The following is a 26,457-nucleotide window of genomic DNA, read 5'->3' on the forward strand; positions in this document are numbered from 1 at the left end:
GTCTCGAACTCCTGACCGCAAGTGATCCACCTGCCTCAACCTACCAAAGTGCTGGGATTACAGGTGTGAGCCACCGTGCCCAGCCCTGGCAGAGAATCTTGATGGAGGCTCCCAGAAGAGACCAGGGACACCCACTCACCACCATCTCCCTAAGAGTGCTGAATGGGCTCCCCAGACTCAGGAGATCCCAGACGCTTTGGCCTCTGTCTAAAAGAAGACTCTCCAGAAACAATGAGATGTCGTGGATGAAACATAGAGTTTGAAGACCAATAGCCTGGATCCAAATATTAACGATGCCGTTTCCTGCTGTGTGATCCCGTGCAAATCACTGAAATCCTCTGAGCTCCAATTTCTTCACCTATCACAGCAGGTAGCAGTGAGGAGACAAAGGAGAGGAAAACACTTTGAAAACTGCAAATCTGCAAATCATTGCTAATTGTTGAGATGGTTGGTGGGTGGACTACGGCTTGGGAACTAGGACCAACATTTCACCTTCTACTTTCTGAGGCTTTCTGGGATTTGAGGCAAGAATGAGTCAGGGAATGAGGGGCGGGAGACCGCCACAGGACAGTTTCCATAAGGTGGTCCCATGGCCCAGTTGATGAGGTTGGTTATCCGGTATGAAAGCAATGTGGGACTAGCTCAAAGCCTGGTTGAAGCCAAATATTGTCATCATCTCCGAATACCTATTTTTAAATTCTTCTTATGTGCTGTTGGATGCAGAGAACTTCAACTTCCTGCTTGGTTACCTTCTAAAATAATGGTCGAAAACTCCATGGCTTCTCAGCCGGGCGTGGTGGCTCACACCTGTAATCTCAGCACTTTGGGAGGCTGAGGTGGGCGGATCACGAGGTCAGGAGATCGAGACCATCCTGGCTAACATGGTGAAACCCTGTCTCTACTAAAAATACAAAAAAATTAGCCGGGTGTGGTGGCGGGCGCCTGTAGTCCCAGCTACCCGGGAGGCTGAGGCAGGAGAATGGCGCGAACCTGGGAGGTGGAGCTTGCAGTGAGCCGAGATGGCGCCACTGCACTCCAGCCTGGGCGACAGAGGGAGACTGTCTCAAAAAAAAAAAAAAAAAAAAAGAAAAGAAAAAGAAAACTCCATGGCTTCTCACACCTATTTAAGTTAACATCTCAAATGTTCCTTCATAAGTTTACACAGAAAGGATATAACTTCTGGTAATTGCAAATATTGAACATTTAAAAGGAAAACTTTTAAAAAATAATTTCAATTTTTATTTTAGGCTTAGGGGGTACATGTCAGGTTTGTTATATGGGTATATTTGTGTGACACTGAGGTTTGGGACACAAGTGATCCTGTCATCCAGGTAGTAAGCACAGTACTCAATAGTTTTTCAAGCCTAATCCCTCTCCCTCTCCCTGACCCAGGAGCCCCCAGTGTCTACTATTACCATCCTTATGTCCATGAGACATAAAGATGAAAGCAAAGACAAAGACAAAGATAAGCTGGGCATGGTGGCTCACGCCTGTAATCCCAGCTACTTTGGGAGGCTGAGGTAGGTGGGTCATTTGAGGTCAGGAGTTTGAGACCAGCCTGACCAACATGGTGAAAACCTGCTTCTACTAAAAAAACAAAACTTAGCCAGGCGTGGTGATGTGCGCCTGTAGTCGCAGCTACTCGAGAGGCTGAGGCAGGAGAATCGCCTGAACCCAGGAGGTGGAGGTTGCAGTGAGCTGTGATCACACCACTGCATTCCAGCCAGGGGGGACAGAGTGAGACTTTGTCTCAAAAAATAAAATAAAATAAAAATAAAAAAGACACAACAATAAAGACATAAAGACAAAGATCTCCACCCACGTTGCTGCAAAGGACATGATTTCATTCTTTTTCCTGGCTGCGTAGTATTCCCTGGTGCATATGTACCACATTTTCTTTATCCAGTACAGCATTGATGGGTACTTAGGTTGATTCCATGTCTTTGCTATTGTCAATATTGCTTGTGATGAACATATGATTGCAGGTAACTTTTTGGTGGAATGATTTATTTTCCTTTGGATATACACCCAGTAATGGGATTGTTGGGTTGAATAGTAGTTCTATTTTAAGTTATTTGAGAACTCTCCAAACTGCTTTCCACCACAGCTGAACTAATTTACATCCTCATCAACAGTAAATAAGCATTCCCTTTTCTCTGAAGCCTCACTAGCATCTGTTGTTTTTTTGACTTTTTAATAATAGCCATTCTGACTGGTGTGAGATGGTATCTCATTGTAGTTTTGATTTGCATTTCTCTGATGATTAGTGATGTTGACCATTTTTTCATATGTTTGTTGGCCATTTGTACAGCTTCTTTTGAGAAGTGTCTGCCCATGTCTTTTGCCCGATTCTAATAAGGTTATTGTTTCTTGCTTGTTGAATTGTTTAAGTTCCTTATAGATTCCGGATATTAGGCCTTTGTCAGATGCATAGTTTGTGAATATCCTCCCATTCCGTAGGTTGTCTGTTTATTATGTTAATAGTTTATTTGGCTTTGCAGAAGCCCTTTAATTGGATCCCATTTGTCAATTTTTGGTCTTGTTGCAATTGCTTTTGAGGACTTTGTCATAAATTCTTTCCTAAGACCAATGTCCAGAATGGTGTTTCCTAGGTTTTCTTCTAGGACTTTTCATTTAAGGTCTTACGTTTAAATCCTTAATCCATCTTGAGTTAATTTTTCTACATGAAGGGTAAGGATCCAGTTTCATTCTTCTGCATGTGGACAGCCAGCTATCCCAGCACCATTTATTGAATAGGGAGTCCTTTCCCCATTGCTTATTTTTGTTGACTTTGTTGAAGATCAGATGGCTGCAGGTGTGTGGCCTTATTTCTGGGTTCTCTATTCGGTTCCATTGGTCTATGTGTTTGTTTTTGTACCAGTACTATGCAGCTTTATATTATAGTTTGAAGTCTAATAATGTGATGTCTCTGTTTTGGTTCCATATAAATTTTAGAGTAGCTTTTTTTTCTAATTTTGTGAAAAAAATGACATTGGCAGTTTAATAGAAATAGTGTTGAATCTGTAGATTGCTTTGGGCAGTATGGCCATTTAACATATCGAGTCTTCCAATTCATGAGCATTGGAAGTTTTTCCATTTGTTTGTGTCATCTATGATTTAAAAGGAAAGCTCTTACATGACTTCTAACAATGTTTCCCATGGAATCTAAATGCCATAGCAATTTCATATCAAACATAATTCAATTTAAACATACACGAACAAGCTCATCTTTAACAGGCAAAAAATTACTCCATTTACTGCTTAAACTTGTATTTCCATTCTACTTTCCCTACATTATATTATGTTAATGTGATATATTCAATGCCTGAAATTCTTTTATTGACCACTCATAATTATCTACGACAAAAGCATGCATATAAATTGAAATTAATTTTTAAAATTTTCTGTGACCATATGGCTCCAGGTATCAAAGAAATCTCTCTGGACTGAATTACCATTATAGGTAGTGTTAATATGCAATTTATCAAAATAACAAATATATTTTTAAGAAATTATTGGCTGGGCGCGGTGGCTCATGCCTGTAATCGCAGCACTTTGTGAGGTCAAGGCAGGCGGATCACAAGGGCACCATCCTGGCTAACAAAGTGAAACCCTGTCTCTACTAAAAATACAAAAAATAAGGCCACGCACCTGTAGACCCAGCTACTCAAGAGGCTGAGGCAGGAGAATCGCTTGAACCTGGGAGACAGGGGTTGCAGTCAGCCAAGATTGCACCACCGTACTCCAGCCTGGGCAACAGAGCAAGACTCTGCCTCAAAACAAACAAACAAACAAAATATATATACATAACATAAAAATTAGAATTTTATTGGGGAAACTATTCTTCATTCCACTTCTTACTAAAATAGGCAGGGTCCTCATCAACATTTTTCTCATTTTACAATTATTGTTGCTACTGCTACCGTAAGCACTATAAAACTTTTTTCATGTAAAGAAGTATATAAGCGGCCAGGAGCAGCAGCTCACGCCTGTAATCCCAGCACTTTGGGAGGCCGAGATGGGGGGATCATGAGGTCAAGAGTTCAAGACCAGCCAGGCCAAGTTGGTGAAACCCCATCTCTAGGAAAAATACAAAAATTAGCCGGGTGCGGTGGCATGCACCTGAAATCCCAGCTACTCAGGAAGGCTGAGGCAGGAGAAGCACTTGAACCCCAGGAGGCAGAGGTTGCAGTAAGCTGAGATCGTGCCACTGGACTCCAGCCTGGGTGACAGAGTGAGACTCCATCTCCAAAACAAAACAAAACAAAAAAAGAAGTACATAAGCTGGGCATGGTTGCTCATTCCTGTAATCCCAGCACCTTGGGAGGCCAAGGCAGGAGGATTGCTTCAGCCCAGGAGTTAGAGACCAGCTTGGGCAACATAGTGAGACCTCATCTCTACAACAAATAAAAACATTAGCTGGGCATGATGACTCACACCTGTAGTCCCAGTTGCTAGGGAGGCTGAGTTGGGAGCATCCCTTGAGCCCAGGAGTATGAGGCTGCAGTGAGCCGTGATCGCGTCACTTCATTCCAGCCTGGGCAACAGAGCAAGACCCTGTCTCAAAAAAAGAAAAAAAAAAAGGCCAGGTGCGGTGGCTCATGCCTGTAATCCCAGCACTTTGGGAGGCCGAGGTGGATCACCTGATGTCAGGAGTTCAAGACCAGCCTGGCCAATGTGGTGAAACCCCATCTCTACTAAAAATACAAAAAAAAATTAGCCAGGTGTGGTGGGGCATGCCTGTAATCCCAGCTACTCAGGAGGCTGAGGCAGGAGAATTGCTTGAACCTGGGAGGCGGAGGTTGCAGTAAGCTGAGACCGGGCCATTGCACTCCCGCCTGGGCAACAAGAGCGAAACTCCGTCTCAAAAAAAAAAAAAAAGAAGAAGAAGAAGAAGTAGACAAGAATGGAAGCAATTTTATCAAGCAGTATCAATTATTACTCAAGCTCCTTCAGATACAGTGATCTATCATCGAAAATATTTAATGATCTAATTCTCTGACAACTCAATTAGGTCTCCTCTCAAATTTCATGAAAGCAAAGAATTAGAAATCATCTGATCTGCAAAAAGATTTATTACTTAGTCAATAGAATCATTCACTTTCTAAAAAAAAAAAAAAAGAAGAAGCCAATCCAGCAATTTGTCTGGCAACCCAGATATCTGTTCACCCTGGGGCAATGCACCCTAGTAAGATGAGAGAGGGTGAGGGATGTTTTGCATTTATGAAGCAGCTGTTACGAAAGAGGAGACAGAACAGAGAGACTCCATTTAGCGGCAATGGCTCATCGCCATTCAGTTCTCACCAGAACAATTATAGGAAAGAACGCATGGAAATTGTGGACCCAGAATTTAAAAAGAACAAAAACCATGTACCTGTGTAGCCTTAGAAAGTCCTCTTGTGACCCTGAAGATGGGCATACCCAAATTTGAAGCCCATGGGTTTGAAAAGTCCCCATTAAACTGGTAGGTGAGTCTCCATGGAGCTGGTGACAGACCGGCAGCTGGAGCTTCCTTGACATCTCCGGGTGGCTCTCTCCAGCCTGGGCTTTGTGGATCACAGTGCCCTTTGAAATGTTAGGGATCCCCAGGAAAAAGGGATTCTCAGGACAAAAAGTTTGGGGAAAGCTTTCTATTCTTTCTGCCTCTTACAGATTCACAATAAAATCTGCATAGCAAAGACTAAAGAAACCTGCTTAATTTTGTGTAATGCAAAATTTCCCAAACTAACCTGGCTCTCCCCTCCCGCCTCCTTCTTTCACACAGAATGCCTGGGTACATATAAAGAGACTTCAGTAATCTGCTCCGGAGCCCAGTGTGGTCCTGGCAACTGCAAGCTGGATCTCCATCCGTGCCCTCCCTATGAGACCTGGGTGATTCCTGTTAGCCATGGGCCTCTCTAAAGCTCTCCAGAGGGACTAAGGCCTGAGATCGGTTTGTTTTCTTGTGTGAACCAAAAAGCATCTGAGACAGGTCTCAATCAACTTAGAAGTTTATTTTGCCAAGGTTAGGGACGCGCCGGAAGAAATAAACATGGAGTCCCAGAAACAGTCTGTGGTCTCTGCCTTTCTCCAAAGACGATTTTGAGGGCTTAAAGGGGGAAAGCAGGCTGGAGGGAAAGGAGGAAGGATATGGTCACATGACTGAATCCACACGTTGCAAGAGAAAAGGAGCAAGTAGGGGAATAGTCAATTATGTATGCACCTCACGCGCAATGTAAGGTGAATTGAGTAACTATCTGCGGGGATGTTTTGTATTTTATCCATAGCTATCTTAGGAACAAAAGAAAAGGTAGCTTCTTGCATGACTCTGCTTTAAGCTTAATTTTTTTTCTTTTGGCAGAGTGAATTGAGGTCCCAATTATTTTTTTTTAGACGGAGTCTCGCTCTGTTGCCAGACTGGAGTGCAGTGGCGCGATCTCAGCTCACTGCAGCCTCTGCCTCCCAGGTTCAAGCAATTCTCCTGCCTCAGCCTCCCTAGTAGCAGGGACTACAGGTGCGCACCACCACACCTGGCTAATTTTTTTGTATTTTTACTAGAGACGGGGTTTCACCATGTTGGCCAGGACAGTCTTGATTTCCTGACCTTGTGATCTGCCCACCTCGGCCTCCCAAAGTGCTGGGATTACAGGTGTGAGCCACTGCACCTGGCCAGGGTCCCAAGTTTTTATTCTCCTTTTACACTTGCACTTTACGGATTCTGTTACCTATTCAGAAAATGCTACTTTCCTATTGATGCCATTCACTTTTAGATGGAGACTCTCATATAATTGGGAGGTTTCTATGATATTCACTTTGGGCAACACCCACTGCAGACAGGAACTTGAAGGTGTTTCCTAAGTGTTACCTCCACAAGCAGATGAGTCAACTTGGCAGGTCGCTAGCTGTCCCTGTGGGTCCCCTGGTCATCAATAGTATGGTGCCAGCTGAGAAGGGATTAAAATTAGATGTAAAGTAAAAAATCCAAATATTTAAGAGTAAGGAGTGTGTGTAAGAGAGAGGGAGATTGTGTCTGAAAACATATGCCTGTCTTTCATCATACCTAGAGCCACGTGGTCTTTTTTTTAATCATCTGGCTTATATTTTCCATTTTTCATTGCACAACACCAAGAGTTGGCTACATAGTCATGATGAAGATGAGCATACAAATTCCAAGTGTCACAACTGGAGAGGGAGGCCTCCTAAGTTGTTCATGGGAATGAGGATCAGATCACCTGACTCGATACAGGCTTTGGGACATCTTAGGCATCTAATCTCTCTAATCCACTGAAGAGACACAATAACGAGCCCCAGCTATCCCTTCCCTTTTCATCAAGAAGACTGCACATTAGAGATTAGTCAATATTCTATGCACAAATCATAAATATTTGGTGAATAAGGAGATCAGTTAGATTCTCCATCCTTGATTGCAGCTCAAAATTCAAACAAATCAATCAGTACCTGCTGGGGGGAAAAAGCCTGTAGAGCACTTTTTTTTCTTGAAATACAAGAATCATGAAGGGAATAAATATTAACTTTATTCCCTTATTCAGAACAAGTGAATTGGATGGCGCCAATGGCAAACAACATGGATTCCTGGCTCTGCTTCAGCCAAAATGCATTTTGCTCTTTGGAACCCTCAGTTCCAACCTGTGACGCTGGAAAAGTACTAATGAATTTGTATGAGGCTCCACAAACCAAGGAGGGCAAAGCAGAGAATAGCTGGAATAAATGAGATGAAGAGCGAAAAGTAACTTTTTATTTCAAAACAACTAGAGATTTCTTGGAGAATTATATTTTTTTAAACGCCCTTTTATGGGAAAACAAAGGCAGCAGAAATCAAATGGCTTACTTACGTTTAAAGGGGAGTTTGGCAGCTGAAATGTGATGGAAATAGACTCTTCGCTCTCCAGGTCACAGAGAAGGCTGCCCAGAAGAGCCCTGGGAGAGACAACACCATCGACACCTCAGACCACCCTTTCTGGAGGGCGGGTGTGTTAAGTTCTTATTAAAAATTTATCCAGGTGTGGAGAACAGCTGTAGCTGATTTCTTCAGCATGCCTCTGCCAATTTCCCAAGAAAAAGAAACAATATTTTTCTCTCCACTGCTCTTCCAAGAAGTAGCTGAGGACGGGAAGAAACACAGAATCAAAGTGTTGCTCAAGGGTGCTTTCTGATCCAAACCCACAATGTGACATAAATCTGTCATTTTGATTCCGCTGGGGTGTACATCTGAAAACCCAAAAAGTGAAAAAATGAAATTAGCCCAGGTATTAACCTGGGTGTGGGGCTGAGGCTGTGAGCCCAGGTATTAACCTGGGTGTGAGGGCTGGGGAAGGGGAACACAGCATTCTTTGCTGTGGCCGTGGGTGTGGAATTGGGGGCAGGGCTGGTCCATTTGCAGCCTGTGTGTGTGTCTGTGCTGATGGAAGCCTCATTTACACACAGCACAAGGAAGGCAGGCTTTCTCCTTGGTAATTGGTGAATCTGTCAGACTGCAGGGAATTAAACAGCAGGAGGCAGGTGTCGACCTTTAAATACCTAAATAAGCCATATCAATCCAAGGGCTGAGGCCATGGGCCAGGGCTGGGCCTAGGCTTAGAGAAAACTGGTAATAGTCATCACTGGATTATTTATTCTTTTTTTTTTTTTTTTTTTTTTGAGACGGAGTCTCGCCCTATAACCCAGGCTGGAATACAGTGGCACGATCTCAGCTCACTGCAACCTCCGCCTCCTGGGTTCAAGCAATCCTCCTGCCTCAGCCTCCTGAGTAGCTAGGATTAGAGGAACACGCCACCATGCCCAGCTAATTTTTGTATTTTTAGTAGAGACGGGGTTTCACCATGTTGGCCAGGCTGGTCTTGAACTCCTGACTTTGTGATCCACCCGCCTCAGCCTCCCAAAGTGCTTAGATTACAGGCGTGAACCACCGCGCCCAGCCTGTATTTATTCTTTATCATTACGTTTTAGTTTGTTTTTTATTTTAATACAGATGAGGTCTCACTGTAACCCAGGCTGGAGTGCAGTGGTGAGATCACAGCTCATTGCAGCCTCAACCTCCTGGGCTCAAGTGATCCTCCCACCCCAGCCTCCTGAGTAGCTGAGACTACAGGTGCACTCCACCACACCCGGCTAATTTAAAAAAATTTTTTTTGTAGAGACCAGGTCTCACTATGTTGCCCAGGCTGGCCTCAAACTCCTGGTCTCAAGCCATCCTTCCACCTTAGCCACTCAAAGTGTTGGGATCATAGGTGTGAGCTCTGTGTCTAAATATCATCAGCAGATTAGACAAAGCTCTAATCCTTTGGGATTCCTTTGAGTTATTATTCAGATTCTGCCCCCAAAGGAGCCTCAAGTATTTCCAACCGACTTACTCTATTCTATCTTATTTATTTTGGTCACAGCCTGCAAATTAGTGGGGAGGAAGAGGGATTACTTCTCACCCAGCAAGGCCACTCCAGCGCTGGTTCAGCATAAGCTAACACCCACGACCCTAGGCCCTGCAGGGGTGGTCAGAAAAGCAATGAGGTATGGCAGGAAGATTGAGGCTTTGGTGGCAGGTGGGTCATTCGTGTGCAAATCCCAGCTTAGATTTTGGGCTTCAACTGTCAGCTTCAATTGTTTCATTTCTAAAGTGTCATTCACCTTAAAGTCACCGTGCACACTGAAGATTATCACGTCAAGTGCAGGGCACCTAGCAGGTATGATGGCAGCTGTCACTACTATTACTATTGTAACAGAAGAGTATAATTACTCTTCTTTCAAAATCAGAGTCACACTGTCCCCGGGTGGGACACTGGTATATTAAGGACAGACTTCAGATGTTACCAAGGCTGGGGAATATCTAAAGTCTGGGCAAGGCTGGGGTAGAAGGAGGGGCAGACTGCTAGAGCGTGGGGCAGGAGGACTGGGGGTGGTATGCCTGAGACAGGTGAGAATCAGCGTCCCAGACCCAGGAGTGAAGGGAAGGGGCATGGAGGGTGGTGGGAGCATTGTGATAAAGGCAACAGATTGGGGGAACAGTTCTGAACCAGAAAGGGAGCTGACTTCCGGACTGAGCACTTCCGCTTGGACAGGACAATGCAGAAATGGCCTGGAGCTCATGACTATGCTATGGCACTAGGGATGACAGAGGACTCCTCTCCTGGGTTCCTTCTGCAGAAGTTGTGTATGCAGCTGCTCATCTAAGCATGAAGATAGGAGGGCCCCTTTTATGGGACTTCAGGAGAAGCCTAGAAGGTGCAAATTACTAGGGCAGTATAATCTCCAAATTTTGGCTGGGCATGGCGGCACACACCTGTGATCCCAGCGCTTTGAGAGGCTGAGAAGCAGGGATTGCTTAAAGCCAGCAGTCTAGACCAGCCTGGGCAACATAGTGAGACTCAGTCTCTACAAAAAATTTAAAATTTAGCCAGGTATGGTGGCACGTGCCTATAGTCCCAGCTACTCAGAGGCTGAGGCGGGAAGATCGCTCAAGCCCAGGAGTTTGAGGCTACAGTGAGTTATGCTTGCACCACTGTACTCCAGCTTGGGCAACAGAGCGAGACCCTATCTCAAAATTTAAAAACATCTCCAAGCTTTCTTGATTGCTTACCTGATTTGATCAGGTACGTTGTTTTATTCTATTCCATTTTATTAATTATTACATACATATGTTCAGTTATAACTTATTCATATGTATGGACGATATATTAAGTGCAGCTTAGATTAGAAAGCAAACACAAGGAGATCTGCTGTACAATGCTGCACCTATCGCTAACGATACTGTCTTGTGCCCATAAAATTTTGTTGAGGGTTGATCTCATGTTAACAGTTCTACCAATTAAAAAACCCACAGGCATCCTGGGCATGGTGGCTCATGTCTATAATCCCAGCACTTTGGGAGGCTGAGGCAGGCGGATCACTTGAAGCCAGGAGTTCGAGACCAGCCTGGCCAGCATGGTGAAACCCTGTCTCTACTAAAAATACAAAAATTCGCCAGATGTGGTGGTGCATGCCTATAATCCCAGCTCATGACCTGAGGCTGAGGCAGAAGAATCACTTGAACCCAGGAAGCAGAGGTTGCAGTGAGCTGTGATTGCACCACTGCACTCCAGCCTGGGCAGTAGATTGAGACTCTGTCACACACACACACACACACACACACACACACACACACACACACACACATACACACACACACCTAGAAGTTCCAATGTTTTTTTTCTTGCCTTCCAATGGATCTTCTTACACATCCAGTTTTGGATACTTCTGGTCCCAAAAAGCAAGAGGTGGGGTCAGGAAAAAGGATTTTTCCTCTCCAACCTCAGAGGAATAAGAAAAGTCATTTTTCCTTCCTCTAATGCAAACAACTAAAAAGACTGAAGGTAGAATAATCTTTTTTGTTTTTGTTCTTGTAGGCAGGAAGGTTAAAATTAGGAAGATGAAAATATGTGACAACCACTGACTTACGTAATAAAAGTACAAAGGGGTTGGGCTCAGTGGCTCATGCCTGTAATCCTAACACTTTGGAAGGCTGAGGTGGGAAGATCATTTGAGACCAGGAGTTCAAGACCAGCCTGGGCAACATAGTGAGACCCCATCTCCATGAAAAAATTTAAAATTTAGCCAAGTGTGGTGGCATGCACCTATAGTCCCAGCTACTCAGGAGGATTGCTTGAGCCCAGGAGATTGAGGCTGCAGTGAGCTAGATCACACCACTGCACTCCAACCTGGGCAACAGAGTGAGACTCCATCTCTAAAATAATAAAATAAAATAAAATGTACAAAGAACTCAAATTCAAGCTTCTTATGAAAACCAGAGGTGATACAAAAGACAACCAGTTCTTCAAGTGAGGAATGTTGATGAACCTTGGAGGGCACATTTGTTTCATTTGTCACTTAAAACCTGAGCCTGATGCTCCATTTGTACACTGCTCACCCCAAAATGGACGAGCTGCCTCGTTTGATCCTGATAAGCCATGTGGGCAGGGGTGAAGGTACACAGCCCATAGTGTCATCTGGCACCATGTGGCACAGAGCATCACAAGGCAGTAGTGAGCCATGCACGTTAAGAATGAGGAAACTCTTGTAATCGCAGCACTTTGTCAGGCTGAGGTGGGTGGATCACTTGAGGTCAGGAGTTCAAGACCAGCCTGGCCAACATGGCAAAAGCCCATCTCTACTAAAAAATACAAAAATTAGCTGGCATGGTGGTGCATGCCTGTAATCCCAGCTACTCGGGAGGCTGAGACAGGGGAATTGCTTAAACCCAGGAGGGGCAGGTTGCAGTGAGCCGAGATAGGGCCGCTGCACTCTGGCCTGGGTGACAGAGAGAGAGAGAGAGAGACTCTGTATCAAAAAAAAAAAAAAAAAAAGAGGAAACTTGGCAAGGGGCACACCTCACCTGGTCTGCCTCCTCTCAGCCCAGCTATTGCAAACAATCTGCATTCCCTCCAATCACCTCATCAGGCCACTCCGGGCTGCCTTTGTACTTGAGCTGCCTCTGCCTGAACTGGTTTTGCTCCTCCTCTGCAATCCCCTCAGCTACTCATCCTATCCTACTCATCTTCCCAACTCAGCTTAAGCTTTTCAAAGTGGATTGCTTCCATTTTTTTTGTCCCCCACTCAGTAGCAATTCCAAAAACTCGCTGTTTGTTTGCATTTCTGTCTCCCTCTGCTTGGCTACGAGCTCCATGATGGCAGGAATTGCATCTCGATGATCTTTGGGTACCCCCTGGCCTAACAGACTCAGTCATAGGTGTCAAAAGAAAAAGAAAGTTCAGGACCTTTCAAACTCATTATGCCGAGGGGAAAAGTTAAGCCCTGGAACCCGAGTCAGGTAACATGGCTCTCTCCTCTCCCCTCCTCTCTGCTCCTCTCTTTTTTGAGCCAGAATTTCCCTCTTGTTGCCCAGGCTGGAGGGCAGTGGTGTGATCTCTGCTCATTGCAACCTCTGCCTCCTGGTTCAAATGATTCTCTTGCTTCGGCCTCCCAAGTAGCTGGGATTACAGGTAACCCTCACTACGCGTGGCTAATTTTTGTATTTTTAGTAGAGATGCGGTTTCACCATGTTGGCCAGGCTGGTCTCAACCTCCTGACCTCAGGTGATTGACCCGCCTTGGCCTCCTAAAGTGCTGGGATTACAGGCGTGAGCCACTGCACCCAGCCAAGGAGTTATTATTTCTTATGATTCTGAGGGTGCACTGACCTCAGATCAACAGCTCTGCCCCATGTGGTGTGGATTGTGGTTATGCAGGCAGCTGCAAACAAGTGGAGTTCAGCTGGGGCCCAAACATCATGAAGACTTACTTAATGCCAAGCAGGTGGTGCTGGCCTTTGGCCTCTGGGTTCTCTCCATCAAGGCCTCTCTTCCTCCACAGGGTACAGGGACTTCCTCTCTGCAAGGCAACAGGATTTCAAGAGAGTGGAAGCTGCCTACGCCCAGAACTGGCACAGCACCATTTCAGCTGCATTCTGTTAGCAAAAGCAAGTCACATTCAAGCCCAGATTCAAGGGTGTGGGGAACAGAATCCACTTCTTTTTTTTTTTTGTAGACAGGGTCTCACTCTGTCACCCAGGCTGGAGTGCAGAGGTATGATCATAGCTCACTGCAGCTTCAGACTCCTGGGCTCAAAGTGATCTCATCTCAGCCTCCTGAGTAGCTGGGACTACAGGCATGCACCACCATACCTGGTTAATTAAAAAAAAAATTGTAGAGACAGGGCTATGTTGCCTAGGCTGGTCTCAAATTGCTGGGCTGAAGCAATCCTCCTGCCTCAGCCTCCCAAAGTGCTGAGATTACAGGCAGAATCCACCTCTTGATGCAAGAGAAACGTGTGTACAGGGAGGTGAGAAATTGTTGGTGGCTAGCTTTAAAGACACTCTTCCAACATGAATAGTTCTTATTACGGTACCTTTATCTTCACTGAAGGATTTAATTCATTCCAAAATGCTTGGCAAATTCCTGGTTACCTGCTTTACTCATAAACAAATTTGACCACATGCTACAGTCTCTCTTTTTCCTAAGCTACTGTGCTTTCTCCTTGCTAGCTGCCTGCCTTTGAGTCTGCAGATCAAGTCCTTTGCCTGCTAAAACAATTGGAGTGGGGAGGTCTTTACAACCCCTTTTGACAGGGAACCTGTTTGGAGTCTCATATGGAGAAAGAAATCCCTATTGTGCAGAAACATGGATACTTCCTATGAAATATTTTCTACAGGAATATCACATAGGACATTAGGGTTTCATCAGTTAATCTGTGTATCAGTTGTGGTAGGGAAATTACTGCAAAAAAATTTCAATGGCTTCACACATTACAGTTTAATTCTAAACTTGTGTAACAGCCCAACGTAGATCCAAGTCAATGCAGGGACTTTGCTCCATGCAGTCATTCAGGGACCCAAGGTGGTCGCAATTCCACCATCTTCAGCCCATGACCTCCAAGGTCAATTTGGGCACTGACATCAGCTAGTGGAGGGCAAAGAGCGTGTGAGTTTACAGATGGGGCCTAGAAATGGCGCACAACCTCTTGCATTTTATTGGCCACAACTTGGACATACGGCCAAATCTAACTCTGTTGGAAACTGAGAAATGTAGTCCAGCTGTGTGCACAGGAAGGAGAGGAAGCAAGTTCGTGATGGACTAGCAGTCTAAGCCCACTCGTCCGGAACCACATACATTACACACATATTGACAGTGTTACTTGTGCCTGTTAGCACACAGATCACACTCAAGCCTGGGAAGAGGAGGGCGAGTGCCTCAAGAAAATTATAGGAGTGTTTAGCAGGAAGATTGAATGCATTTCCCCCAACTTTCCCTGGAAACAGACAGCATCTTTCCAGACTTGGACACAGTGCCATCTGCTGCTCAGAATAAAAAGCAGGGAGGTGGACTGGGTTATGGTTGGGCCTGGGGTCAGAGTAACCAGGTTAGAAGAATCAGAACTTAGTACTCTAGAATTTTCATCGGTTTGGTAACCATAGGAGATTAGAGGAAATTCATGCAGCAGCCACTTCCATTTAACAGACACCAAACAAAAATTGTGAGGAGGAAGGGAGAGGAGTTGTATGGTTGGTTTTAGCTTTCTGTGGAATTAATTAATTAAGGCAGCTGAGTATCATGGAAGGCAAGACTGGAGTCAAAAGACCTGGGTCCTAGGCCCCACTTTGCCATTATCTGGGCTGCAGTTTCCTTAGTTCTAAAATGAGGGGACAGGCCCGGCACAGTAGCTCTTGCATGTAATCCCAGCACTTTGGAGAGCCGAGGCGGGAGGATTGCTTGAGCCCAGGAGTTTGAGACCAGCCTGGGCAACAACAGCAAGACCCCATCTCTATCAAAAATTTTTTTAAATAGCCAGGTGTGGTGGCATTTACCTGTAATCCCAGCTACTCAGGGGGCTGAGGCAGGAGGATTGCTTGAACCCAGGAGTTGAGGTTGAGTGAGCTATGGTGGTACCACTGCACTCCAGCCTGGGTGACAGAGAGAGACCTTGTCTTAAAAAAAACAATAAAAATTTTAAAATAATGAGGGGACAAGAAGACTTTTCATGATTCCTTCCAGCTGGGAGCTCCAACCCAGTTCCATAGTCATATGGGACCATTTTCAAGATGGCAAGTGAAGCCACATAAACACATCGGATCCCTCAGGGACAGTGTTTCTTCTTTTGTTTTCTTAAAAAAAAAAATCTAAATCCATATGTTATAATTTCCACATCAGAATCATCTATTACTTGCTTTTTTTCTTTTCTGTCAATAAGTTTATTGTCTTTATCTGAAAAATCCTCATAGAAAATTGTTTGGTTTGACCGGGCGCGGGGGCTCACACCTGTAATCCCAGCACTTTGGAAGGCCAAGGCAGACAGACCACAAGGTCAGGAGTTCAAGACCAGCCTGGCCAATATAGTGAAACCCCATCTCTACTAAAAATACAAAAAATTAGCTGGGCGTGGTGGTGGGTGCCTGTAAATCCCAGCTACTCAGGAGGCTGAGGTAGGAGAATCACTTGAACCCAGGGAGGCGGAGGTTGCAGTGAGCTGAGATCCCGCCATGGTACTCCAGCCCAGATGACAGTGCGAGACTCTGTCTCAAAAAAAAGTTAAAACCTTCTTTCTTGGGCTTCTTTTCATAGACTGGATTCTCTCATATAGCAGCATGAGCTTTCTTGTGTATCTCCTCCATCATGTCTGGAGTTACATTGTTCTTTATATATTGAAAGAACTGTTTCTTGTAAGCATCTTCATCTTCCTCCATTAAGTAGCACATGTAATCTGCAACATTCTGGCCCCTGATGTGCTTCTGGTGTACTTCTGCAATAAATTCCTTGTTTTCAGAATCATAACCAGGGAATCATTTGGTATTGCGAGGGATAGACAAGCCTCCATCCACAGCTCCCTTCAGGGTGCCAAAAACTTGATTGCCAGCGGTAGTTCTGGCAAGGCCTGCATCCAAATAGCAGGTAAAGGCACCTGGCTGACCATCAATGCTTTCCACATCGTATTCATCGCCAGTCACCTTCACTTGGCCTTCATAGATCTTGTCCATGCCAAACCTACTGAGAATCCTGTGGGTCAGCAGCAGTCCAGGACAATACGCTGCAGCGTAATTTGTCAGGCCAACCTTCACACCGTATTTTGGCAGTTCGTGTGCATATGCTGCGCAGACTATCATATCCCCCTCAATATGGCCTAAGCAATCTGACAAATGATATCTCTGTTCGTTACACAAACTATCATCCTGTATTTGGGTGTGCTGTATTTATTTTTATCCTGCATCACCAAGCGTTTCTGGGCATAGTAATCCGTTTTACCCTCTCGTCGTCTTCTAAACGTCACTTGGTATCTCTTCAAGTTGGCCTTATTTTTAACAACTTTAACAAACCCCACCCTGTGGAACAGAGACCTGCATCTGTGGCTCGACAGAGACCTGCAGGCCTATTACTTGCAGTTAAAGAAAAGTAAATATGTATGAATTTTTAAATTAACAAGCAGGACTTGTTGTTTGGAGGTGGATGATGAGGGAAGAGAGTTTCTAGCTTGGCACAGCTGGGTGGCTGAGGAAGTCCCGCAGCTAATTAATAGCCATTATCATTCATACACTACGGCGCATCCATATGACTCAGGCATATTCTAATTGCTTCACATACACTATCTCAATTTTCATAACAACTCCTGTGGAGAGTACTATTAGTGGCCCATTTTACAGAAAAAAACAAAACACAGGAAATACTGATGGAAGGACAGATGAGAAACAGGGAGGAAGGGAGTGTGGCAGACAAACTGTCCACCAAAGTTTGGTGTTGTGCTCCCTCCCATACCGTAGACTTATTGCTGGCATACGCACACTTCGTAAGGGTGATGCTAAAATTTAGATATGCCCTTCTGCATCCTCTTTTCTGTTCCCTTCTCCTGTCCGGGTGACGCCAAGGCAACCTTGGAAGCCACCTATGGAAGATGGCAGAGTCTTCAGTCTGGACCTTTGAACAACTTTGCGGAGCGGACCTCTCATGCCCCCATTTCACCTCCTGCCTCCTGCCCTAGAACACCTACTTTGGATATGAGATGAGAAGTAAGTTTTTACTGGTTAAGCATTAAAATTTGGGAGTATCTTTGTTACAGCAACAATATTGAGTGAACATCTTGCTACATCTAATTAAAACGGGATGGGAGGTAAAGACAATAAATGAAATATTGGACATGTTGAATTTGAAATCTTGCAGGACAACCAAACGGGAAAGGCCTAGAAGGTAGACAGCGAGAGATGGGGCGGAGATGAACAGAGTCATCGTTAACACCCAAATTCACAGTGTGGACTTGCTCCTGAATAAATCACAGAGAGAAAGGAAAAATTACTGAAGGTTTTTTTTCTGCCATTTCACTTCATGGCTATGTGCTCTAAACTGACCACGAAATGGGAGGTGTGAATCTGCTGTTCCTCCGATGGCCTCATTTCTCTTGTGCATTCTCACATTGTGAACTCTCTGAGTAAAATCCCAACCTTTAAAAAAACATTGTTTTGGCCGGGCGCGGTGGCTCACGCTTGTAATCCCAGCACTTTGGGAGGCCGAGGAGGGCGGATCATGAGGTCAGGAGATGAGACCATCCTGGCCAACATGGTGAAACCCCCTCTCTACTAAAAATACGAAACTTAGCCGGGCGTGATGGCGGGCTGTAATCCCAGCTACTTGGGAGGCTGAGGCAGGAGAATCACTTGAACCAGGGAGTCAGAGGTTGCAGTGAGCCAAGACTGCACCACTGCACTCCAGCCTGACAACAGAGTGAGACTCCATCTCAAAAACAAAAACAAAAAACATTGTTTTTCTACATAATGGCTCCAAATCTGAGCCAGCTGTTTCATCAGAAACAAAACAAAACAAAACAAACAAATCTCATAGTGAGAAAATGCTATTTTTACCTCGGCCTCAGACCTTGGAACTCAACCCCATGGAAGACGTGACCTTGCTGTGCGTGTCTGGGAATTCGTGCTTTCAAGATGGCGTCTGAATTCAGGGAAGGGGATTGGCTCTCTTGGGAAAACTGCACAGAGTAAGAAGAGGAGAGGACCAAAGATGCACCCTCAGGGAGCGCCAGCATTTGGGATGTGGGCTGGAGAGGAGTTGCGTATAAAGGCCAAGGAGCAGAAGTCATCAGAGAGGTGGGAGGGATATCAGGAGTAACAAGAGTCCCCAAGGCCAAAGGAAAACAGAATGCCAAAGAGTATCTTTGTAAACAACAGACAGGGTCTCACTCTGTTGCCCAAGCTGGAGTGCACTGATGCAATCATGCTTCACTGCAGCCTCAAACTCCTGGGCTCAAGCAATCCTCCTGCCTCAGCCTCCCAAGTAGCTGGGACCACAGATGCACATCACCAAACCAGGCTAATTTTTAAATTTTTTGTAGAGACAGGGGTCTTGCTATGTTGCCCAGGCTGGTTTCTAACTCTTGGCCTCAAGCAGTCCTCCCTCTTCGGCCTCCCAAAGTGCTAGGATTACAGGTGTGAGCCACCACACCTAGGGTTCAAATTTTGTTTCTAAAGGCTGAAAAAAAGGGGTTACTGGATTTGACAATAAAAATATCATTTGTGAGTTTTATAATAGCAATCTCAACGGAGGTGTTGATATAAAAATCAGATTTTAATGGAGTGAAAAATTCAAGGAAGAGAGGGCTCTAAGAGGTTTGGTAATAAAGGCATGGCCCAAGATTAGATTGGGAATTAGCAGGATTAAATCCTTGTTCCATAATTTTCCAGCTGTCCAACCACACTTGGATTCAGTTTCTAAATCTGTAAAACAGTTTTAATAATCCCTGTCTCAGAGAGGTTTCTGAGGATGAAATGAGAGGACAGTTGTGATTGTGTTATAAAACCCAAGCAAGTAGGAATGAGTATAAATTATGGATTTTCCAGCCATTCTAAAATCTTCCTGAGGATACAAAGCAGAATCGCAGAGAGCTGGAACACACAGTTCCACCTCCTCACAGAACTGCTGTTACTGCAGTGGGCTTCCGGTGATGATCTACCTAACAGTGTGGGAAGCAGTTCTGTAAAACACTGGTTCATCTGCTGAAAACATATCAGAGATGTTGTTTATTACATGACGCAGCCTCATCTCAAAGGTGATGGCTGGGAGCATCCCCTCTGGTCTTGTGTGGACGAAAACAGTCAAACTCTGTAGAATATCTGAAGATATTTATTCTGAGCCAAATATGAATGACCATGGCCCGTGACACAGCCTTCAGGAGGTGCTGAGAACATATGCCCAGGATGGTCAGGGTGCAGCTCGGTTTTATACATTCTAGGGAGGCATGAGACATCAATCAAATACATTTGAGAAATACACTGGTTTGGTGGAGAAAGGTGGGACAATTCAAAAGGAATGGGGATGGGGGCTTTCAGGCTACAGATAAACTTAAACATTTTCTGGCTGCCAATTGGTTGAGTTTGTCTAAAGACCTGGGATCAATAGAAAGGAAATATTCAGGTTCAGATAAAAGATTGTGGAGACTGAGGTTCTTTTGAAGTCTCATAGTGGCTGCCCTTAGAGACAACAGATGACAACTGTTTCCTATTCAGACCTTTAGAAGGTGCTGGACTCTCAGTTAATCTCCTCAGGATTGGGAGGGCCTGGAAGAAAAAGATCTAGCTATGTTAACAGAGATTCTTTAGAGATGTAAATTTCCCCCCCACCACCCAGAAAGGACAGTTTTACAGGGCCATTTCAAAATACGCAAAGAACCATGTTTTGGGGTAAAATATTTTGATTTTCTTCTTTGCCACATAATGTTATGCCAGATTCAGAAAGGAAAGTAAGTAGCAATATGTAGGGTTAAATAAAACCCATCTGACGAGAATTTATGGCTTGTAGGGCATGACTCCCCAGACCCCTTAGATAAGAATTGGTGCAAGATAAGAAAAAAATCAGAGCTTAGTCCTCAGTCTGAATATAAGGAATAATTGTGCTTCTCCTGAACAATTGGCCTGCTTTTATCTTGTGACTGACTAACCGAGTTTCCCTTTTGCAATGGTTGCTAGAAAGCTTAGAGTCAACCATGTGGTCCACCCATTGTATGTACATAAGATGCCATGGGATGCTTTTTTTGTACTGGATTCTTCTCCAGTCCTCCTTAATGTTCCTACTTCTACTATTCTCATATTTTAAACCTGTGCCACACTATTTTATATATGCATTCTTACAAACAGTCTTAAATGTTTTCTGTTATAAGGGATGATATTGAAACCCCCTTTGGAAAATTATGACAGACAGTGAAAGCTTATCTAAAGAGATAAGCAAGACTCTGTCTTGTTCTAACCTCCAAGCTATCCTTGTTCGTTCCTGGGGGTAGGCTGAACTAACTTTGGGAGAAACTTAGTTTATGGTTTAAGTAAAGATGGTAACAGCCCTTTCCCAAGCAGACCTCCTTTTTGCTTGGGGACTAGATTGCCTTCGTAGGACTAACATTAGCCACAAGATTAGAAATTACGGTTTAGGAGTCATGCAGCTGGAGGCTACAAGATTCTGACCCTCCCTAAACTGCTCCTAAGATCAGTGCATGAGATATTTTGCATGCCCTGCACTTGATGGATCATCTGACACTACCCAGATCAATAAACTTGCTCATCTGCTCTTATGGCCCCCACCCAGTAACTGACTCAGTGCAAGAAGACAGCTGACTCACGGCCATTTCATCTCTGACCAATCAGCACCCTTGGCTCACTGGCTTACCGATTTCATCTCTGACCAATCAGCACTCCTGGCTCACTGGCTTACCAATTTCATCTCTGACCAATCAGCACTCCTGGCTCACTGGCTTACCCCCACCCACCAAGTTATTTTTAAAAACTTTGCTCCCCGAATGTTCGGGGAGACTGATTTGAGTAATAACAAAACCCTGGTCTCCCACACAGCCGGCTCTGTGTGAATTACTCTTTCTCTATTGCAGTTCCCCTGTCTTGATTTATCAGCTCTGTCTAGGCAGTGGGCAAGTTGAACCCCTTGGGTGGTTACAATATAAATAATTGTTCTAGGCATGGTGTCCTGCTAATTTTCCATCCTCTATTTGATTTTTATGTATGTATCAATACATCTCCAGTCTTCCTATACACTCCATGAAACTGAAACTGTCATGCCCTTGGGTACCTTCCTTAACATCAGAGCTCATGACAACAGCTAACACAACCTTCTCTAGGGGCAGATAGGAATGCTTTATGTGTGTAGATGTTTATGGATTCATTGAATCACAACAATCTTTTTATGTCTACTTCACAGATAAGAAAACTAAGGCACATCAAGGTTCAGTACCTTCAAAGCCACGTAAATAGTAAGGAATGGATCTAAGATTAAAAACCCAGTCGCCTAGCGCCAGAGTCTGTTCCACCAGATGTACCACCTCTCTACAAACTCATGGAAACTCTGGGATACAAATGCTTCAGTATTTTGGCTTGCATGCTTTGTAAGATATTAACAAGAAGGGCTGGGAAGCCTTCCTTGTTAATATAATATCTTGCAAGTTCTGGGATGAGGTAGAATTGTATGTTCTAGCTCTCTGCGATCCTGCTTTTTATCCCGAGGAAGATTTTAGAATGGCTGGAAAACTCATAACTTACACTCATTCTTAGTGTGAGTCGTTTTTTTTTGTTGTTGTTGATGTTGTTGTTTTTTGAGACATTGTCTCGCTCTGTCGTCACGCTGGAGTGCAATGGTGCCATCTCGGCTCACTGCAACCTCCGCCTCCCTGATTCAAGTGATTCTCCTGCCTCAGCCTCCCAAGTAGCTGGGACTACAGGTGCACACCACCATGCCCAGATAATTTTTGTATTTTTAGTAGACAGGGTTTCACCATGTTGGCCAGGTTGGTCTCGATCTCCTGACCTCGTGATCCACCTGCCTCAGCCTCCGAAAGTGCAGGGATTACAGGCGTGAGCCACTGTGCCCGGCCAGCATGGGTTTTAAAAGTCAATCACAACTGTCCTCTCAGTTCATCCTCAAACACCTCTCTGAGTCAGGGGCTATTAAACCTGTTTTACAGATTAAGACATGAAATGTAACAGTAGCTGGACAGCTAGAAATTGGTCTTCACGAAATAAATTACATAAAATTTCTTTCATGTGTGAACCCTGAAAATCTGAGCCAGGTCTCAGTTAATTTAGAAAGTTTGTTTTGCCAAGCTTGAGGACATGTGCCTGTGACACAGCCTCAGGAGATCCTCACGACATGTGCCCAAGGTGGTCAGGGCACAGCTTACTTTTATACATTCTAGGGAGCCATGAGATAGCAATCAATACATGTAAGATGTACACTGGTCCTGGCTAACATGATGAAACCCCATCTCTACTAAAAAAATATAAAAAATTAGCCGGGTATGGTGGTGGGTGCCTGTAGTCCTAGCTACTGGGGAGGCTGAGGCAGGAGAATGGCGTGAACCTGGAAGGCGGAGCTTGCAGTGAGCCAAGATCAGGGGCCACTGCACTCCAGCCTGGGCGACAGAATGAGACTCTGTCTAATAAATAAATAAATAAAAGACATACACTGGTTCTGTCCTGAAAGGCAGGACAACTGAAGTAAGGAGAAGGCTTCTAGGTCACAGGTAGATGAGAGACAAATGGTTACATCCTTTTGAGTTTCTGATCAGCTTTTCCCAAGGGAGGCAATCAGATATGCATTTATCTCGGTGAGCAGAGGGATGACTTTGAATAGAGTGGGAGGCAGGTTGTCCCTAAGCAATTCTCAGCTTGACTTTCCTCTTTAGCTTAGTGATTTTGCAGCCCCAAGATTTCCGAGATTTATTTATTTTTCACACATGTAATAGGATTGGCAAAATATAGCTAAAAATAGTATGTCTAAGTAGAAGTCTTAATGAATACAGATCTCTTTGTTAAATAAGAAGTAATTTTTAATTAGATTAACCTGCCTCTCTTGGTTTCAAACAGTCCTAATCTTCCTAGAGTGCTAATTGTTTATATCCTACAAGGATCTTATGTTTAGTGTTTTTAACTTTTTGGAAGTAGCTGGATGAAATAGATATGGACCTAGGAGAAAAGCAATACCATATAAACACGTCACATCAAAACATCCTACTATTGATCAACTTATTAGCATAAAAATGGTCCAATGGGCATCAGAATATTGAAAAAACAAGGAGATGATGTTGCTGATTCAGGAACTTCTCACTTCTTATTCTTTATTTCTCCTTGGAAGGTAGTTAATGAGATTATAGTTTTAATCCTGGGCATGCTTGGCCACTCTATCTTTAGTATAGGCTTATGGATATTAAGAACGTTCTTGCTTAATAATTACGATATGAAGCTAATGCTGTTTCCTTCTCTTCGATATCCTGCTCATTCCTCAACAGTCAGGGCCCAGGCAATGTCCTACCCCCTCCACAGAATAGCTCCTCCATTCCTGCCCACTTGAACCCACGTTGACACAACTTCCTTCTAAATCCCTGCAACATTCTCTTTGGCATGTATGGACACATTCAATACTTACCAGTTGATGCTGTCAATCATACATCAATGTCATATATATATATCAGTCATTAGATATAAGTTCCATCCAGACAGGAACCGAGTCTCTTTACATTACCAAGTCCACATCACCATGTACAATGATAGGGCACTATAAATGTTTGTTGAATTAATAAGTTCAGGAAAGAATGAGTGAACGAATGAGTGGGAAGTGAGTTGGAAGACCTCTGCAACTGACCAACTCTGCCCTTGCTTAGGGTAATGTTTCTCTAAAAGAGGTCTTTGAATCTTCTGCATCAGAATCATCTGAAATGATTGAGATGCAAAATCCTGGGCTCCATCCCCAGTTCCTTTCATTAGAATATCTGGAGTTGAGCCTAGGAATTTGCAGCTTAACAAGCACCCTAGGTGATTTTTTTTTTTTAGACAGGGTCTCATTCCCATCACCCAAACTGGAGTACAATGGTACGATCTTGGCCCACTGCACCCTTGCCCTCCCGGGCTCAGGTGATTCTCCCACCTCAGCCTCTGAGTAGCTGGGACCACAGGTATGCACCACCACGCTCAGCTAATCAGGTGATTCTTTAGCCCACAAATTTGAGAGCCACTGGTTTACCAGGGTATGTTTTAGCAGATATTTTTTGACTGCTTCATTGGAATAATCTGAATTACACACCACACCTCTCCACAGATTTTATAATTAAGCTCAAACTTGTAACAGTTTGTAATATTCTTTTGTAAGAAATCAATTTTCCTGGAAGAAAGAGATGTTTAGTTTTGGGCACCAGTGTTGTGAGATCACTGGAATTAAGGCAAACAGCAAAACCCATAGTATTTGTATACCATGATGAGACAGCCAAATGCCTAGGCAGATAAAACAGTGTCCCCAGAGAACCTCCGACCCACCCCACAAGTGTTGACATCAGATGCTTTTGTGCAGATGAGGGAACCTGCCCAGGGCCTCGTCTGAGCCTGCCCACACGTGCACTGGGGGAACGGGGTGGAGCCACAGGCAGCGGGAGGAGCCTGGCTCTTCAGTTCTTGTGTGGTGACCTGGGATTCAATCTGTGAGGTGGGGGACTTGTTAGCAGGAAGCCACCTCACTTTGCTGAGTTTTTTTGTTTTTTTCCCTTTTCGCCCAATAAAACCCTCCTCTGCCCACCCTTCAATGTGTCTACATATAATTCTCCTGGTCTTCTGACAAGCTAGAGCCCAGTTTTAGCTGAACTAAGGAGCAAAATTCTGCAACATTTTGGCTCCTAGGTGTGGGGCTTGAGGAGGGGTGGGTAAGATGTGAACCAAAAAATCTTTTTCCCCTTTCGCTTCCAAGCCTTTTTGTCCTTGGGCTTCTTCTGAGGGTAGAGGAAACTGCACACCCCCTCACCCCAATGGCTGCAGGCACCTGCGAGATAGACTGGCGAATGGTGGGTTCCCCGCTCCCCTCCCAGCCAGGGTTGGGGTGCATGGCCCATGGCCCAAGGGTGCCCAATGGTGGACAGCAATTAAGTTTCTCTCCCTGTCGGAGGAACCCATTTGTATAAGAGTAAGAGGTATTTTCCCCAGGCATCTTTCCAACCCTGCATTTTAAACTATTTTTTCCTTTTCTCTACCCTGTCAGCATTTAACTTTTAAGTGAGAGGTTTTTTTTTTCCTTTTTGAAGACATTTTACTAGGCCAGGAATAAGGATCACTGTTTATATTCTCTGTAAAGTTTTAATTATGAAAAAGGATTTGTGAGGTTGGTCTTAAGCTGTAGCCAGTCTTGTGGGCTTTGCATGACTTTCTGTATGGTGAGTAGCAAACCTTGCTGCGGGCCTCCATCTTGTTTTAGGGAGCATGACCTGTAACCACGTGGCAACGTTTTGTCTTAGCCTCCACCATTTTACAATGGCGGCCGGGTTCAATCCTGGCTTAGGGAATAAGTCCTTTCTGGTTTGATATCTGCATGATCTGTTGCTGATTCTCTTCCCCTCCACGAACCACCTTTTATCTTCCTTTCTCTGAGCACCTGGGACATCACCTTTAGCAAAGTTTGAAAGCCAGAAATATTGGCCACTTGGCACGGCTAGTTGGGTAATAAGGCAGTTAAAAGGTTTTTCTCAAAGAGCACTCAGCTTAATTAAAAGTGGATATCCAAGTTATAAGTATATTTAAAAGGTCTTTACGTTTTTTGTTTGTTTGTTTGTTTTCTTGGATCTCTTTGCTGGAAAAGGGCTTTTTCTCAGTAGACTGAATTATTTTTCTCCATTTTGCCTTGTCACTCTTAATGTATGCATGAGAGGCCCTAAGATAACTCCTGGGGGCATGGGACTCCTTGGGAAAAACAGACAAGGTGCCACTAACCCCGTTTTGGGAAGAAACCTGTTTTTCTCATGGAACCCCGGGAATTAAATGCAGATATATCCCTCTCAAAATCTGTTTTTGCCTCCCAGTCATGCCTATTTTATTAGGCCTTAAAAGCTGCATGTTTTTCTGGCCCTGTCTCTTAAAAGGCAACACCCGGAAGCCAATAATCCAATTAGGAGATTGGCAGACGAAAAATTTCAC

The 26,457-nt window shown here is 44.3% G+C and overlaps 1 protein-coding gene and 1 pseudogene across 1 annotated transcript in view, besides 3 other annotated features; both read right to left on the bottom strand.

Moving 5' to 3' along the window:
- The window catches only part of CCDC3 (coiled-coil domain containing 3), a 203,365-nt gene that overhangs the window by 145,217 nt on the left and 31,691 nt on the right, over positions 1 to 26,457 (bottom strand). Inside the window, exon 5 of the mRNA NM_001282658.2 lies at positions 7,833 to 8,100. The gene's annotated coding sequence lies outside the window, so the exon portion shown is untranslated. The remainder of the gene's footprint in view (positions 1 to 7,832; positions 8,101 to 26,457) is intronic.
- Positions 8,142 to 8,643: an enhancer, noted in NCBI's record as "NANOG hESC enhancer chr10:13091983-13092484 (GRCh37/hg19 assembly coordinates)". NCBI's record gives its function as "activates a minimal SCP1, AML or CMV promoter by ChIP-STARR-seq in primed H9 embryonic stem cells {active_cell/tissue: H9 hESC(primed)}" and the evidence as "EXISTENCE:reporter gene assay evidence [ECO:0000049][PMID:30033119]".
- On the bottom strand, positions 16,049 to 16,884 carry RPL5P25 (ribosomal protein L5 pseudogene 25; annotated as a pseudogene).
- Positions 24,371 to 24,885: an enhancer, noted in NCBI's record as "H3K4me1 hESC enhancer chr10:13108212-13108726 (GRCh37/hg19 assembly coordinates)". NCBI's record gives its function as "activates a minimal SCP1, AML or CMV promoter by ChIP-STARR-seq in naive H9 embryonic stem cells {active_cell/tissue: H9 hESC(naive)}" and the evidence as "EXISTENCE:reporter gene assay evidence [ECO:0000049][PMID:30033119]".
- Positions 24,886 to 25,399: an enhancer, noted in NCBI's record as "H3K4me1 hESC enhancer chr10:13108727-13109240 (GRCh37/hg19 assembly coordinates)". NCBI's record gives its function as "activates a minimal SCP1, AML or CMV promoter by ChIP-STARR-seq in naive H9 embryonic stem cells {active_cell/tissue: H9 hESC(naive)}" and the evidence as "EXISTENCE:reporter gene assay evidence [ECO:0000049][PMID:30033119]".

The sequence above is a fragment of the Homo sapiens genome, chromosome 10, assembly GCF_000001405.40.
Source record: "Homo sapiens chromosome 10, GRCh38.p14 Primary Assembly".
Taxonomy (NCBI): domain Eukaryota; kingdom Metazoa; phylum Chordata; class Mammalia; order Primates; family Hominidae; genus Homo; species Homo sapiens.